The sequence below is a fragment of the Homo sapiens genome, chromosome 16 (genome assembly GCF_000001405.40).
Source record: "Homo sapiens chromosome 16, GRCh38.p14 Primary Assembly".
NCBI classification, from domain to species: domain Eukaryota; kingdom Metazoa; phylum Chordata; class Mammalia; order Primates; family Hominidae; genus Homo; species Homo sapiens.
Window position 1 is genome coordinate 23,946,093 of NC_000016.10, and position 18,372 is coordinate 23,964,464.

At 44.9% G+C, this 18,372-nt stretch overlaps 1 protein-coding gene across 3 annotated transcripts in view, besides 1 other annotated feature; it reads left to right on the top strand.

The window, feature by feature from the left end:
• Positions 1–18,372, top strand: part of PRKCB (protein kinase C beta) — a 384,629-nt gene that overhangs the window by 110,110 nt on the left and 256,147 nt on the right. The gene's annotated exons all lie outside the window — the stretch shown is intronic.
• Positions 13,423–13,602: an enhancer, noted in NCBI's record as "active region_10593". NCBI's record gives its function as "activates an Ori minimal core promoter by ATAC-STARR-seq in GM12878 lymphoblastoid cells {active_cell/tissue: GM12878}" and the evidence as "EXISTENCE:reporter gene assay evidence [ECO:0000049][PMID:35858748]".

Consider the following 18,372-nt stretch of genomic DNA (forward strand, 5'->3'; position numbering starts at 1 on the left):
AGAGGGGTTAAATAATGTTTCTGTTATTGTACAGCAAATCAGTGGCAGAGTGGATTCTAAGATTCGTGCCTTCTCTACTCACTTCACTGGGCTGTCAGAGGTTAAGGGAAGAGTTACATAAGCCACCTCTGATTATTAGAGAATGACAGGGCTGGCTAATTCTGCCTGGATAGTATTGAAGAGGAGCTTCATTCAGGGGCACCGCTTTGCTAAAGAGACCACCCAAAGAATGAGTAGTTTTGAGTCACCAGGTACCCTGAAGTGGTACCTGAAGGTACAGCTGGTATGATGGATGACAGATGCCGGTACCTTGCTGTCATCCATCATATCAGTTGTCAGTTACCAGGTAGACCTAGCGGTAAAGGGTAAGTTATATCTCTTGCCTAAATGTCAGTTTCCTCATCTGTAAAATGGGACCCTGAAAGTCTACTTTAGAGGGCTATAGGGTTGTTAAGATTTAATGAGTTAAGTCCATAAAGAACCTAACGTAGTGTCAGACACATAATAGATCCAGAGAAATGCTGATTCTTAGCAGGCTAACTTTTTCTTTTTGAATTCCTCTTTAGGCCAGAACTGACTAGTATAGGCTTTTCAAACTTTAGCGTGCAGAAGAATCACCTGTGGATCTAATTAAGATGCAGGTTGTGATCCAGTAGGTCTGGGGAGGGGCCGGGCCTGGAATCCTACATTTCTAACAAGCTGCCAGATGGTGCTGATTCTGCTAGTCCATAGATCACACGTTTTCTTTCATTCTTTCTTTGTCTTTGTCTTTTTTTTTTTTGAGACAGGGTCTTGTGCCGTCATCCAGGCTGAAGTGCAGTGGTGTGATCTCAGCTCACTGCAACCTCCACCTTCTAGGCTTAAGCGATTCTCTTGCCTTAGCCTCCCAAGTAGCTGGGATTACAGGCATATGCAACCACTGCTGGCTAATTTTTGTATTTTTAGTAGAGACGGGGTTTTACCATGTTGGCCAGGCTGGTCTCGAACTTCTGATCTCAAACGATCCACCTGCCTTGGCCTCCCAAAGCGCTGGCATTACAGGCGTGAGCCACCATGCCCAGCCCATGGATCACACTTTGAGTAGCAAGGGGCTAAGGGATCCTGACATAGCATTTTGGGGTCCTGCAGCTTCAACTTACTCTGCTGCCTGTTCCCATGACCTCTAAGACTGCTCTTCTCGAGACAGCATCCTTGTTCTGCACTGGTTCCTTTGGAGCAGCTGCTCAGCCCTGCTAAAGGCATCTTGCTCAGTGCAATATTAGTTTGCTGCGGAAGATCTGGGACCTGGGCTCCTCTCCTCATTCTCCTTGATCTTAGTTTTGGTTCTGCCAGGACTTTGCTGGGCAATCTTTGTCATGTCCTTTCCCCTTTTTAGATTCAATTTCTTGATTTGCAAAACAAGACAGTAGGAGAGAGTCACTTTCTAGTTTAGGCATTCTGAAGTTCTGTGAATCTGTGATACCAGCTGGTTGGTGCATTTTCCTGCCAGGCCATAAGCAGTACTTGCCTTTATTTCTGGGCTCCAGTGGGGGTCTTCAGAGATACATAGATGCATATAGTCAGGACAAGAGTTAGGAGGAGTAAAGGTAAGGGTTCAATCCAAACCTTTTGGAATAGTAACAGGGTGGCCCAGAGAGATGAAGAATGATTGGGGCACAGGAATCTTCTTGCTTTGGGGCCTAAACGACATCTCCAGGGAATGGCTACTCATTGGGCACATATGAGCCAGGCACTGTGCCAAGAGCTAATGGGAGACACTTGTCATTCTTTCTGGCCACACACTCTGGAGCCGCTTTTTTTTTTTTTTTTTTTAATATTTGTGAATTCGCCACCTCATAAACCCATGTCTCTTTAATGCACAACTCAGAAACCCACTCGCCCAACCTCCCTTGCAGCTAGAGCACAGACATGTGACCTAGGATCTGTCAATCAGGTGAGTCCTTGCTGGACTCTGAATTGGTGGCTAGAAGCAGCAGACACTGTGTTTGATCTGTTCTGGAGGGGGAGGTGTTAAGTATGTCCAGACTGCAGAGTCAGCTATGGTGGGGCTTCTAGCAAGATCTGTCCCTTGTGAATGTTGAATATTCACAGCATCTGTAGTGCAGATTGCCTGGTCTGGACTCTGGAGTGGTGGCAGCGGGTTCTGTACTGTGGTCAAGATGTTTCTTCTGGCTTTCTAAATGTGTCCTAATTGGATTCTCAGGGCCTCCCAAAGCTTGTCTTTCCTGGTTAAACTGGTTAGAGTGGGCTTCCATGTTTATAAATAAGAATCTTGACTGCTTACAACACTTTATGTGTGTTATCTCATTGAATTCTTTTTTTAATTTTTGAGATGGAGTCTTGCTCTGTTGCCCAGGCTGGAGTGCAGTGGTGCGATCTTGGCTCACTGCAACCTCCACCTCCAGGGTTCAAGCGAGTCTCATGCCGCAGCCTCCCAGGTAGCTGGGATTACAGGCACACAGCACCATGCCTGGCTAATTTTTGTATTTTTAGTAGAGACTAATAAGGTTCACCATGTTGGCCAGGCTGGTCTCAAACTCCTGACCTCAAGTGATCCACCTGCCTTGGCCTCCCAAAGTGCTGGGATTACAGGTGTGAGCCACCGTGCCTGGCCCTCCTTGAATTCTCACAGTAACCTAGTGAGGTAGGTGTTATTATCCTCTTCTTGTAACTGAAGAAACTGAGTCAAGAAGAGATGAACTAACTTGCTCAAGGTTCCACTGTCGATAAGTGGAGGCCCAGGATTTGAGTCCAGATCCTCTGGTTCCAAAGCACACATTCTTAACCACCATGCATCTCCTGTCAGAGATTTGTGGGTGTGGAAAGGTCCTTGCAAATCACTTGTCAGTAGTACAGGGTTTCATGAGATCTACACCTGGGCTGGGCACGCCTGTTGGTTTTTTACTGACAACGCATAATTTTTCGAGGAGTGGTAATCAGAGGCAACCGTTCTAGTGACAGTGATTCAGGCGTAAACACTTGGCTTTGGCCCAGAGGTTGCACTGTGTGAGACCACAGGTGAACACTAGAATGTTTACACTCTTCCGGAGTCTGTAGGTGGATGCCAGGGACAGAGAATGAGATTGTAACCCAGAGAAAGAAAGAAAAGAAAGAACGAACAAACAAAAGAAAGAAAGAACGAACGAATGGACAAAAGAAAGAACGAATGAAAGAAAGGGCCAGCCCCTGGGGCCTCCTTAGATAAGGAAGAGAAAGGAGACCTTGCCTCAAGCTCAGAAACTGGTTAAAACACGAGCCCAGTCACCTAGTGATAAGCAGTGCTTGGTTCTATTAACTCTGACAACATAGTACTATCTTGGGCAGAGCTCTTTGGAGAAGCAGGTTGGCTAACTGGCCAACCTCAGTTGATTCTCATGGTCTTGGAACTTTCCTGGGGGTCCAACTTCCTCCGTTCTGCCCCTCTTTTTTCTCTACCTTCTATCGTTTTATTCTTTGTCTCCTTTATTTTTCTTCAACAAATATTTTTGAGCACCTATTGTTAACAATTCAACCAATATTTATTGGGTGTTTGCTCGGTGCCACTTACAGTTCTAAGTGCTGGAGATACAGCAGTGAACTAGCCAGACAAGCTGTCATAGAGTTTCCAATTTAGTGGCAGTGGGGTAGTCCAGTAGGCATGAAGCCAGGCAGGTACCAGTTGTTGAGGTGGTGGTAGTTCCACCCAGTACTAGGAAGATAACATTCTTATCCCCATTTTACAGATGAAGACACTGAGGCAAGAGAGCTTAAATTAATTGCCTGAGGTCTCACAGGTAGGCTGGGATCTCTGTGAGATCTAGGAGTGCCAGAGCCACTTGGGTCCAGCCACCCACACCTCTTCCCTGTGCCTCAGGCTGGGATGACACCCAGAGCCTCTCCTTTCTCCCTCACCTGGGCCCAGAGACCACCTCCTTCCCTCTCCTTGCATTGCTGCTGCCCATGCTAACCGAAGGAGCCTCGCCGTGGGGCGGATGTGGCCTCCCCAGTGGCCCACTTCCTCCTGCTTCTGCCAACAGCAGCATTGGCCCCTATGATTTGAATTTTTTTTTTTTTTTTTTTTTTTTTTCTGTTGATCCCTCTAGCGGCACCAGATGTGGGTGGGGTGGAGGGTGGGTACACCCACACTCCCTTAAGCCTGGAAGTAACCTAGGTTCCAGACTCTGTGTGTCCCTGAATGGTAATAGTGACTCTCTTCTTAGCTGTCTGTCCCACTGGGTCCTCCCACTCCCCAACTGGTGCTCCTGCTTTTCCTCAGAATGGGGGACATAAATCTCCTTCTAGTCCCAACCCATTGTCAGGCAGGGCTTCCTCCTGGAGGGCTGACTTCCCAGGACTGGGCCAGCTAAAAGCTAAGCAGTATGGGTAAGAGCACGGGGTTCTGGAGTCAGACAGACCTAAGTTCAAACCCCAGTACTGCCGTGGACAAGCTGTGTGGCCTCAGACAAGTTGATTAACCTCTCTGAGTTCCTTTTAAAATAGGCTGAGGTCTGTAGGGATAAGGTACCTGAGGTCTTAGTGCCTGGCACAGAGTAAACCCACGTGTTGGCTGTTTCCATTATTGGGTAGAACAGAGGGGCCTCCTGGCATCAGTGGGCATTTTGGGCCTGCTGCTGTCTTGTCTATCTAGGCCTTGGTTTTGCCTTTCAGGCTGGTGCCTCTTTGCAGTTTCACTTTAGCAAGTGAAACTTTATTTTTCCTGTTTCTCCTGATCTGTTTCCTCCTTATTTTCCATAGTGAATAATCACACATAAGCCTTTCTTTTCTCAGGGCAAGGTTGCTGTCTGTGAAGGAGTGGAATGCCTGAGCATCCCTGGTAGGAAAGGAAGAGTGACCAGCATCAATGGGGTACTCTATTCCCTGAGTAGCAAGCCCTCTTCCCGCCTTGTCCCTGGCTCCCACACCTGTTATCCTGCCGGCAGTCATCTCCAGTATCCCAGAGGAGCCATAGGGATGGGTGTTTGAATATAAGAACACTCTGCAGCTCAGATATGCGGCATTACTTTTCCTGTTTGACTCAGTTCTGCAGAGGGTTGCTGAGTGACTGTCATGTGCAAAGCACGTGGGAGGAAAGATGAATAATGAGAGCAATCGAATGCCCATTCCCTTGCATCCAGGGTGCTCTACTAGACCTGCGTTCTTCCATCATTCTTTCAGCCCACGTGGTTGCCAATACTGGGAGTTATCAGTCTTTTCCATTTTTGCCAATCTAATGGATAAAATATCTTGTATTAATTTGCATTTCCCAGATATTCATGAGATTAGGCATACGCTTTTTGGGCACTTGTATTTTTTTCTCTGGGAATTCCCTCTTCGTATTACTTTGTCAATTTTTCTAGTGGCTTTTTTATTTGAGACAGGGTCTTCCTCTGTCACCCAGGCTGGGGTACAGTGTCCAGATCACAGCTCACTGTAACCTCAACTCCAGTGATCTTCCCACCTTAGCCTCCCTAGTAAATGGGACTACAGGCACACACCACTATGCCAGGCTTTTTTTTTTTTTTTTTTTGTAGAGACAGGGTTTTGCCATGTTGCCCAGGCTGGTCTTAAACTCCTGGGATCAACTCATCCTCCCAACTTAGCCTCCCAAGGTGCTGAGATTACAGGCATGAGCCACTGCACCTGGTCCCCTGTCTTTTTTTTTTTAATTAATTGATAGTAACTCTTTATATATTCTAGATGCCAATCCGTGATTTAGTCTAAAAATAAATCCCCTTGGTCTGTCCTATGTCTTTTCTTTTGGTTTATGAAATCTTTTGTAATACAGGAACGTCACACTTCCACAGTCAAATGTGTCAGTCTTCTAAATAGATATAGGTACCTTGTATATACTCCTTGATATATCACATTGATTGGTGGTGACCTGTTTGTCTCCCTGGCTGTCAGACTGTGAGAAACTTGAGGGCAGGGGCTGTACTTTATTCTTCTCTGTCTCTCTAGGGACTAGTGCAAAGCTGGGCACAGAGTTTTGTGCCTGAATGAGTTTTTTTTGTGTGTAAACGTGGTATAAAACAGGTCTTGTGACTGAATGAGGGAATGAATGAAAAAGCCCTGTCCTGCCCTCCCTGCAGAGATGGGGTCTGCTGCAGAGATGGGAGTGAGTCAGGGAGTGAATCACAAGCTCTTCCGTGGCTCAGCTGACATTTCAAAAGCCCTGAGCAGAGAAGCCCCCCTCATTCCAAGAGAGCCTCCGCCTCTTTGAGCAGGCACAGTGAAGCTCTGCTGATTATCAAACTCTGTGTGTGTATGTGCACGCACGTCAGGGGTTTAGCAGTTAAAACTCTTAGTGCTGCATATTCTGCGTATGTGTGAACAAGGCTTTAAAAAATCTCTCAGAGGACCTGTGTATGTGTGTGGGTGCTGGGGGCTGCATAGAGAGAGAGTTAAAAGAGATGAGGGGGTGTTTAGAATCGTTGCAATGTATTGCATTTGTTTCTGGGAGGGTGGGGCGACTGGAGGGGGTTAAATAGCTCCCAGAGGCGCTCTTGTGAGCGGAGCTTCCTGAAATCTCTTTATCTGTGGCCACATGCTGTTCTTGGTTGTCCACGTGGTTCCCTGGTGTCCCTGTTGCTGAAGGCACTTCTGTTTTGTTCTTGGAGGCTTGGCTTCTCATTGCCATTTTCTAAAGCAGTAGAGAGTGCCAGTTAGATTGTTAGACCCAAATAATCTGAAATGTGTGAAAAAATAGTAAATATTTACTGTACCTTTTGTGGAACAGGTTATTGCCATGGAAATGCACTGTACACGAATCTGGATGATGGAGGGAAGCTGGCTCAGGAGCTATGGGAGTGTTTGGATACCATGCCGCCTGAATTGGCAGGTTTAGGAGTGAGTGCCGTGGGTTTAGAATCACAGTGTGGTTGGGTGAGGCTGAAACACTTGGTCCCCAGTCAACCTGTACTGAGAGGGGCATTTATTCATTGCTTCCCACATGCAGGGTGCTTCCTAGAGCATTCTCCATGCATTATTGCGTTTAATCATCATGCCACCCCAATGAGGTGCCATTATCCTCCCTGTTTTACGGAGACACAGAGTGTTTGATCTACTTGCTTGAAGGTACGCAGTCAATGAATGGCAGAGCCCCCTGACTCTGTTCTCTGGAGCTTGATCCTTCCCTGCTCAGCTGTTTCTCTCACTGTGATTTACCCTAGAGAAAGCTAACCAGCTGTCTACCGGGGTTTTATTTTCCAATATTGACTTCGGGGCTGACATTTAGAAACCATCAACAATTTCCAGCTTCTCTTGAAAATGTGCACAATCTGGCTACTGTGTGGGGCTTCCCTAGTGGCTGCTCCCGAGCAGCCATCCAGGTTAGCCGGGCATCAGCTCTGCAGTTGGCGCTGGGCATCCTCCTGTTGCAGCTGGGGAGAAAGCATGGGGTATCACACCCAGGGGCTCCTTGAATTAATTGAGAACTGTCTGTTGAGAGCTCCTCATCCTGTTAGACTTGACATTTAATTTAGCTGTTGTTTTCATTTGCCAATTAGAGCTTTTGAGATTCTTTTGATTTTCTTCCTGTGGTCTCAAGGAATTTGTGGGTGGTTGAGTGAAGATCTTCATGGCAGGAAAGGAAGGCTGCAACAGGAGATGTAATGCGTGAGCACATTCATTCATTCATTCATTCATTTACTTGTTTATTCATTTGTTCAACATATTCATTGAGTATTGGATGTTGAAGTTACAACAGTGGAAGTATGGCAATAAATAAGACAGACCCAGTCACTGCTCTCAAGGAGCATATAGTCAAAGAGGGCAGTCAGACATCAACTATGATGCACGTTACAGGGAAGGCATCCATCTTTTTTTTTTTTCTGTGTCACCCAGGCTGGAATGCAGTGATGTGATCTCAGCTCACTGCAACCTCTGCCTCCCGGGTTCAAGCGATTCTCCTGCCTCAGCCTTCCAAGTAGCTGAGATTACAGGCACCCACCACCATGCCCGGCTAATTTTTTTTTAAATTTTATTATTATTATATTTTAAGTTTTAGGGTACATGTGCACAATGTGCAGGTTTGTTACATATGTATACATGTGCCATGTAGTAGAGACGGGGTTTCATCATGTTGACCAGGCTGGTCTTGAACTCCTGACCTCAGGTGATCTGCCCACCTTGGCCTCTCAAAGTGCTGGGATTACAGGCATGAGACACCACGCCTGACCAGGGAAGGCATCGATCTTAGACTGACTTAGTGGTGTCTAGGTCTCTGAAGGAGGTGTCAGAGAAGGTCTCCTTGGCTAATCTTTGTGACCACCGGAGCTCTGTTAGTTTCATAAGACATAAGTCTCAGCAACTGTTGCAGAAAGACCCTTCCTCAGTAAGGATGATGGGCTCCTCGGGCTCTTGCCCTTCCCGTCCTGGGAGGAACCTTCTATCAAGAGCCATGGCTAGTCATTTCATCCATTGGGAATGAGCTTACTGGCTCCATTTATGAGAGTTAGTTTAGACTGAGGAGTAAAGGAGGAGTGAAGGAGTTTGGGAGTTGTCAGTGATAAGCATGCACATTTGGAGTTGACAGGACAGCATGGACACTAGAGCCTGAACACCTTAGTTCAGCTTAGCTGCACTGCCTATTATGTGATACTGGGCTGGTTTCTTAACTGTTCTATGCCTCAGTTTCCCCATCTGAAGTTGGGAATAAAATACTCATCTCATAGGGTTATTGTGAAGAGTAAATGAGTCAAGCTGGGTGTAGCGGCTCATGCCTGTAATCCCAGCACTTTGGAAGGCCGAAGTGGGTGGATGGCTTGAGGTCAGGAGTTTGAGAACAGTCTGGACAACACGATGAAACCCTGTCTCTACTAAAACTACAGAACATTAGCTGGGATTACACATATGCAGGTGTGTAATCCCATGAAACACATTTCAAATAATTGCTAAAATTTTTCAAGCTGTGGCATAAGAGACAACAGTCCTGAAGAGGACTGAAAGGTCTTGGGATGCAGGGGAGCTTAATGTATTAAAAGGTGACATTTTGGATCAGTAGGGAAAAAATTACACACAGGTGTGTGTGTAATCCCAGCTACTTGGGAGGTTGAGGCACGACAATCACTTGAATCTGGGAGGTGGAGGTTGTAGTGAGCCAAGATGGCACCACTGCACTCCAGCCTGGGCGAGCGAGACTGTCTCAAACACACACACATGCACACACACACACACACACACAGCCAGGCAAAGGATGAAGAGAAGCAGTTAATAAATGTGAGCCATTCACGTGTGTATTATGATTATCACGTGATATCAGCCAGTCCTGCTTGAGACTCACTTTTCCGACAGTTCTTTCTTCGGTGGACTGTACCCATGCCCCTGTGTGCCATATATTTGTGATTTCCAGCCTTCCTTTCTGATAACTTCAATTCATTGCTCTTCCCAGGCAAGTCCTTCAATGGTTATGGGGTGCCGCGCTTGCCCTCATCCCCAGCTGAGTGTTCTGCGTTTGGGGACTTGTGTTTATAAGTGTGGGAGGCTGTCCCCTGGGGGTTACTGCCCAGACAGTTAGGGTTGTCCATAATAACAGAAAAGTGCATGGAGAGAGAAGGTGCAGGTCCGCCTATTTGATGTTGGGTAGGATGTGCTGCTTGATGACCGGTGAAACATTTACTTCTCCCACCATGGGCGAGACCTTGGATGTGTCCTTTACCTCTCTCTTTGTCACTTCTGTCCTGAACTGCCCATGAGTGACCAGGGGCTTCCGACAGAAGTGTCTCACAATCCAACCACACAGCAGAAAGGCATTTTCCTTTGGATTTGAGCTTTGTCCCTGCACTGACTTTTTGTGTCATCTCCTCTTCATTCAATGTGAGATACTCACCTTGATTCATAGAATGTTTTCTCATTCCAGGTTTGTATTTTTTTAATCACCAAAAGAAGCACTTATCATAAAAGACTGTGATGATGTATAACTGTGTATTTAGTTTGAAAATCTTCACCTTATAGAAGCAATAAACAATATTTAGGTGTATTATCCTGTGAAATTTTTATAAATATAAGACTTTATTACGAATAAACAAAAAAAGAGATCATATCCTATATACTTTTTTTATAATTTTTTTTGAGAGAGGGCCTTGCTGTGTCATCTAGGCTGAAGTGCAGTGGTGTGATCTCAGCTCACTGCAACCTCCACCTCCAGGGCTCAATCCTCCCACCTCAGACTCTCAAGTAGCTGGGACTACAGGCACGCGCCACCACGTCCAGCTAATTTTTGTAATATTTTTTTTTTGTAGAGATGGGGTTTTGCCCTGTTGCCCAGGCTAGTAACTTTTTCCCTTATTAATACCTTATTTAGATCCACCTTATGTTTTAAATGGCTGCAGAGTGTTTCATAATATGGCCACCATATTATTTACATTCATATTTATAATTTGTCTAAAACATTAGCAATAGGCATTTGGATTATTTCCAAGTTTTCTCTATAATGAACAGTGCAACAGTGAACACTCTTGGGCACTGTAGTGGGGATTTCCATAGAACAATTCTTAGAAATGGGGTGTTTAGGGCAAAGGATATTAACATTTTTAGTTGTAATAGATATTGCTAAATTGCTCTCAAATGTTGTGCCAATTTATGCACCCACCAACAGCGCACGAAAGTGCCTCTTAGAAAATGTCTTTTAGAAGATAAAATACCTATTGTTAAGCCATGAAACACATTTCAAATAATTGCTAAAATTTTTCTAGCTGTGGCATAAGAGACAAGAGTCCTGAGGAGGACTGAAAGGTCTTGGGATGCAGGGGAGCTTAATGTATTAAAAGGTGACATTTTGGATCAGTAGGAAAAAAAATGGCTTATTTAATACATGGTGCTGGCATAATTGGGAGGCCATGTGGAAGGATGCTGAGTTTGATTCCTAACTCATACAAAAATAAATTACAGGTGGAGTAAGCTATAGGCAGTAAAAAAAAAAAAAAAAAAAAAAAAAAAGAATATTAGAGGAAGTTTTAGGAGCATACTTCTGTAACCTTGAGTGAGGGAAATCCAGAAGCCATAAAGAAAAAGATTAGACAGTTTCAATTATGTAAAAATAATTTAATCTTTTAAAAGGAGAATGTATTCATGAATTGCTTATGTAATAAGAAAGACTATTAAAAATAGGTCCAGTAGATAATGTACAATGGTTTCCAATGTGAATAAAGTTGAAGTTAATAAAGAAAAGAAAGTTTTAGGACATGTCAGGGAGTTTTTGTTCAAGGATTGAGATTCTGCAATGTTTATTCTAAATAAAGATGAATGATAGACTAGTGCACATGTAGTAAACTAGTAAATGTGTAGCCCATAAACCTTGTAAGCCCTGGAAGGGTAAAGAAAAAGGGAAGGAAATGTTGTTTTCTGCCTCTTTATTTTTTGTTGTTTTGAGAAAGTTGAGTACCCACCCAAAGCCCCAGGTGTCCCAGGAGAGAGAAGATTGAAAACATGCCATCAAAACAGGAGCTTCAGCCTCAGCCACAAGCTCCAGTGTTTACTGGGGGCCAGTGCCCTTATTCCCACGTGAAGCATCTGCCTTTTTTGCCCCCTTGAAGTCTGAGTCTCTCGTCTGTTCCTGGAGATTTTTAGCCAAGCCCCTCCTCCCCACCCCTCACCTTAGTATTTGTACCACCCTCTGAATCAACCCCAAAGACACCCCTTTGTACTCTTCCCTTCATCTGGCCATCACCAGGGTACTGTGGTCATTGAAGCTGAGTGTGTGCCCTCACTTTCCGTAAACTCACAGTTCCTTTATTCTGCACCTTCAGGGATTGCAAATCGTTAAGGGTATGCCTTCAAATACCAGCCCTCTGACTTCCTAGCTCAATAACCTCACACAGCTCTATATCTCAGTTTCCTCATCTGAAAAACAGTCATGAAATGGCACCACCTCCTAGCATTAATGTGAAGATTGTTATTATTATGTGTTATTAATTATTATTATGTTATCCTATTAATATATGAGACAGAATCTCACTCTGTTGCCCAGGCTGGAGTGCAGTGGCACAATCTTGGCTCACTGCAACCTCTGCTTCCCAAGTTCAAGGGATTCTCCTGCCTCAGCCTCCTGAGTAGCTGGGATTACAGGTGTGTGCCACCACGCCTGGCTAATTTTTGTATTTTTAGTAGAGACAGGGTTTCGCCATGTTGGCCAGGGTGGTCTTGAACTCCTGATCTCAGGTGATCTGCCCACCTTGGCCTCCCAAAGTACTGGGATTACAAGTGTGAGCCACTGCGCCTGGCCTATCTTATTATTATTATTATTATTACTTTTTGAGATGGGATCTCACTCTGTCACCCAGGTGGGAGTGCAGCAGTGCAATCTCAGCTCACTGCAATGTCTGCCTCCTGGGTTCAAGCGATTCTTCTGCCTCAGCCTCCTGAGTAGCTGGGACCACAGGCACCCACCACCATGCCCGGCTAATTTTTGCATTTTTAGTAGAGATGGGGTGTCACCATATTGGCCAGGCTGATCTCGAACTCCTGACCTCGTGATCCACCCACCTCGGCCTCCCAATGTGCTGGGATTACAGGTGTGAGCCACTGCGCCCAGCCTCTTTTTATTATTATACTTAGCACGGCACTTGGCACTTAGGAAATGTTCAGTATATGTTAGCTATTATTGGCTACTGTTATTTCTTCTTCTTCTCCTCCTCCTCTTCTTCTTTCTCCTCTTATTCCTCCTCCTCCCCCACTCCCTTCCACCCCCTCTTCTTATTCCTCCTCCTTCTCCTCATTATTATTTTAAGTACCTCCTTACCAATGCCTACAGAAATAGACTGACCTAGTACCAGGATCTAGAGGAGTTCAATCAAGTTCGTCTGTTGCCTTCAAGGTAACAGCGTAGTGGTGGTTCCGAGCCAGATGCCAGACCCAGTCTGCCTTTGTTCAAATCCTGGTTTTACACTTAATACTGTAGGTACCTCGGGCAAGTTACCTAACATTTCTTCACCTCAATTTCTCCATTTGTAAAATGTATATAATGATAGTACCTACCACGCATGGTTGTTAGGAAGATTAAATCAATTAATATTTGTAAAGTAGAGCAGCCGGCTCATTGTAAGTATTGGGAGTATTGGTTAAAATAATTACAAAATAAACAATCTCACTTAGATACATCCCTTACCCCCTGTGGATTATGTCAAGGGTGAAAGAAACAGTGTGCTTGAAATCCTGCTGTGCGCCGAGCTGTATATCAGAGGTGTTATGGTGATTCGTCATCATTCTCCTGACCACTTTCCATTTTTCTTTTAGAGTCAACACTGGCCAATCTTTAGGGAGGAGCTCTGATCATTGAGAAACTGACACTGTGGAAGGGGGCATTTCTGACTCTCTCTTCCTAGCTCCATTTGATCTTCCTAAATCTTTCAATAATGTGTCATTGGGGTAGGACCAAAGAAAAACGGGGTGAATGTACGGTTGCTGCTTTGTTTCCCATAGTGGGAGTGACTCTGATGTTTCACAAAGGCAGGGGTGGAGAGGCAGCGCCTCGCAGGAAAGCCTTCTTGCTAAATCGAGGACTTCTGCACAGAAATAGATACAAACTTGCTTACTGTTTAAATAGAATATTAGCGATTATCTTTTATCCAGCTGGAGTCTCCTCGGTTTGGTACTGCCTCAAATGAGCAGCCTGCAATCTTGGGTGTCACTTCCTCACTGGTTCTGCTTTCCATAACTGTGTTGAAATCACTCCCCCAGAAGGTCACCAAAAGGGAAAATATTAGTGTGTGTTTATTGGCACGATCTTGCAGGTGCTGGGCTAAGTGTAGACATGATTTATTTTCATTTAATCTTCAAGGTAGTTCTAGGCGATGTCCCCCCACTTTGCAGATGGGGACACTGATGTGCAGGAAATGAAGTGACATGCTGTAGCACTGTTGGTGCTCTGCTGTGTCCCCTCACCCTTCCATTTCATTGCATTCTGGCCTGGCTTCCAATGGGCAGCAACTGCAGCTGTTCACCTGAGGGCTTGCTCTGCCGTAGTCCATTCGGTCCATAGGCATGTCAGGCTGTGGAAGCACAGGAGGAGAGGTGAGGGATGGTGCAGGAGAGAGGAGAGGATGATTAATGTCCCCCAGGGCCCATCCTCAACCAATGACTTATGGGAAACAACCTCCTAGAGTTGTATTAAGCTCCAGTGACCCAGAATGGTAACAAGCTCACAAACACTTCCTTTTTTAAAAAATTTCACAAAAATACTTTATTATACCCATACCTCCTTGTTTTAGCCCATCCCAGTACGGTGGTATCTTCAGAACACTTCCACTTTCCCCTCTCCTCACCTCTTCCCTCCCACCCTTGAGATGTAATCTTTGGACCACTTTTACTTCTTTGCTTTCTCTCAGCACCCTTTCTCCCCTACTCTATGGTGACTTTGTGTTTTTGAATTGAAGTCGTTTCATGTCTGTGTCTTTTTTTTTTCTTCAACTGTTATTTTAAGTTCTAGGGTACATGTGCAGGATGTGCAGATTTGTTACATAGGTAAACACGTGCCATGGTGGTTTGCTGCACAGATCGACCCATCACCTAGGTATTAAGCCCAGCATCCATTAGCTATTCTTCCTGATGCTCTCCCTCTTCCCTCCCCACTCTGACATGGCCCAGTGTGTGTCATTCCCCACCACCAAATGTCCATGTGTTCTCATTATTCAGCGCCCACTTATAAGTGAGAACATGCAGTAAAACACTGCCTTTATAGGCTTCCTTCCCTTCACTGTCTTACTTCCCCACTCCCTACTGCTGCTCTCTGGGATCACCTCTCACAGAAGCTGTTTGTACTTTAATCATTGTCTGAGAGTCTGGGGTATCCCAAACTAAGATAATTGCCCAAGGTCTTAGCTAAATTCAACAGCCCTATTTGTCTTTATCCTCCTTGTGGCAATGCCACTACTAATGGATGTCCCTTCTTAAAATTCTTCCCCATTTTGGCTTTTGTGACACGTAATAGAATTCTTCTACTTCTGATTATTTCTTTCCTTTTTCATTAATTGGCAGCTCTTTCTTTTTAAAAAAATTTGCTAGATTTTTGCTTATTTTTTTTTTTAAGAAATGAGGTCTCATTATGTTGCGCAGACTGGCCTTGGAATCCTAGGCTCAAGCGATCCTCCCATCTCGTCCTCCGAAGTGCTGGGATTACAGGCGTGAGCCACTGTGCCCATCTTTCTTTTCCTTTCTTTAGCCACCCAGTTTTAGGTACCTCCAGTATCCCAGTATTTTAGTTGTAAGTGACAGAAAATCTGACTCAAATTGGTTTATGTATAACAAAATGTAAGTTATTGGATCACATACTTGGGAATCTTAGGATAGGTGGCTTCAGGGAAGATATGATCAAGGTGTTCAGCAATCTGATTCTCTCTCCATCATGATTCAGCTTTCCTCTGTATTGCTTGATTCTCAGGCATGTGCTTGACTAATGAGGCAACAACAACTTGCAGGTCCAATCTTATCTTCATCAATGGTATCTTAACTACATCAGTGGTATAGGACTGCTTCTTTCCTTAGAGTCCCACTGTAAGTTTTGGGTTTCATTCTCATTGGCCTGTGTTGAGTGATGTATACATTTCTAAACCAATCACAGTTGCCACGGAGATGTAATACAGGTTGAGCATCTCTTATCCAAAATGCTTGGGACCAGAAGCATTTCTGAGTGTGGATTTTTTTTTTCTTCAGATTTTGAACTATTTGCATTTTACTTGCCAGTTGAGCATCCCAAATCCAAAAAGTTAAAATCCAAAATGCTCCAATGAGCCTTTCCTTGGAGCATCATGTCAGTGCTCAAAAGGTTTTGGGTTTTGGAGCATTTCACATTTTGGGTTCCTGGATTTGGGGTGCCCTCATTTCCCAGGCTGGGTCACATAATCACCCTTGGAGCTAAGGTTAGAGTTGAGCCCTACTCCATAAGGACTGAGAGTGGGGAGAGGTGATTTCGCAAAGGAAAGTCAAAGTGCTGTCACATGAGGGGATGGGTACTGGAGAGGCAAAAACAACAGATGTTCATACTCCGCATCTCTGGGTTCATTTATCTGCTCTTCTCTTTCTCTGTGAATCATCTGATGATTTCCACTCCTGCCTGCCTGAGTAGGACTCTGAAACTCCTGCCTCCAGATCTGACTCCACTTCTGAGTTGTAGCCTCCTTTCCCCCACCCTCTAGAGTTAGGCATTTCCATTTGGTGGTGCCATGCAGACCTGAAACTCAGTGTGCCACAACCCTCGCCACCTCCCACCTGGTTTCGCTCCCTAACGTCCCTGTCTTTGTCAGTGGTGCCAGTTGGGTTTCCATCTCTCCCTCATCCGTCCCAACCCCCACCTAATTTCCAGCCCCATTGTGCTGCTTTTGATTCCTTGAATGCACCTTTGCAATGCTTTTCCTTGGTTTGTAACCCTCTTTAGCATATTCTTGGTTTGGTGAACCCCTGGCCATATTTAGATATCAGCTCAGAATTCACTTATTTGGGAACCTCTAACCTGGTCACCCATCTCTGCCAAGCCTGAGTTAGATGCTCTTTCCCTGAGTTCTACTAGGCCTTCATCTCGTCTACCACAGCACTTCTCACTCAGACTCCAATGACTGGCTCCATTGCCTGCCTTCCCCGTAAGGGCAGGGGCACATCTGTGTAATTCACCATTGTATCTTCAGCAGTCCAGCCTGACAATTGAGTCTAGGCTGGTGTCCAACAAACCAGTCTTTGTTTTTTTTTTCTTTTATTTTAATTTTGATAGTTTTGGGGGAGCAAGTGGTTTTTTTGGTTACATGGATAAGTTCTTTCATGGTGATTTCTGAGATTTTGGTGCACCCATCACTGTAACAGTATATGTGGTATCCAATATGTAGTCTTTTATTCTTCACCCCCTCCCACCATTCCCCGGAGTCCTCAAAGTCCATTATATCACTCTTATGCTTTTGCATCCTCATAGCTTAGCTTCATTTACAAGTGAGAATATATGGTATTTGGTTTTCCAGTCCTGAGTTACTTCCCTTAGAACAATGGCCTCCAACTTCATCCAAGGTGCTGCAAAGGCCATTATTTCGTTCCGTTTTATGGCTGAGTAGTATTCCATCATGTATGTGTACCACATTTTCTTTATCCACTAGAGATAAACCAGGTTTTGAATTCAGGATCCACCTCTCCTGAGCTGTGAGCACATGGGCAAGTTTCCTCACCAGTCCAAGCCTGTTTTCTCATCTCTAAAATGGAGACAATGACGGTTCCTCCCTCACTGAGCACTTGTGAGAAGTAAGTGGTGATCACGGTTACAAAGTGTTCAGCACAGTGCCTGGAACACGGTAAGCGTTCAATCAGTGCCAATGATCATTTATTATACTCACTATGAACATTATTTTTACCTCATGCAGTGTCTAGAACATAATCAACTCTCAACAAATGACAGCTCTTATTATTAGCCAAGAATGGAACCTGAAACATAGTACGCTCCATGGATCATTGAAGCTTTGTTTTTGAAAGTTTGAAATTAACAAAAAGAGCCTTTGATGTTTCCCTTGCTGCACATTCTTCCCCTCCAGGTGGAGTGGGCAGTTTCCACTGGGTGCTGGAACCAACCCTCCTGTAGTTGGAGGTGATCTTCTCTGATGTCACTAGGGTGCCGAGGTGATGTGTCACCAGCACTTGTTTGCTTGTGTGATGTAATGAGGGTGGACTTGCTTCTCCTAGGGAAGAGCCTCATTAAGGTTAGCAAGGGGCTTGTTCCTGGGAAGTTCTAAGGACCGCCTGGGGCTGCCACATAAGGAACTCCCCTTTTCTCATTTTGTCTCCGGTAAGTTGTTATTGATCTGTACATGATGTTTCTCTTTCTTACCAGCCGTGGGAATGGGCCATCCTCTGGCATCACTGTTGCCTTGAACGTTACCATCACCACCGTTGCCATGAAGTCATGACAGCAGCACCATTGGCTCTGGTTTATTGGGTGTCTACCATGGACAGTAGTAGGGCTAGACATTTAGTATACTCCAGGGCTACTGCGGGGATTAAATGAGGTATGAAGCATCTATAACCCCACGGTCCAATAGGGTAGCCACTAGCCATGTGTGCCTACTGAGATATACATTTTAATTAAAGTTAAATAAAGAAAAAATTCAATTTATCATGCACAGTAGCCACATTTCAAGTGCTCAGTATGTGCTCATGGCTGATGTAGCTGGCAGTGAAGATGGGGAACATTGTCATCATCACAGAAAATTCTTCCACAGCGCTGATCTAGATAGAACAGGATTCAGTCCGCTGTGGCTTGTGGATCCATGGACTGAATTCATACACACAGAATTTTGTGGGAACACAGCTGTGCCTGTTTGTTTATGCCTTATCTATGGCTGCCTTTGCGCTACAAGGATGGAATTGAGTAGTTGTGACAGAGACCATGTGGCCTGCAAAACCTAAAATACTCAGTCTCTTATCCTTGAA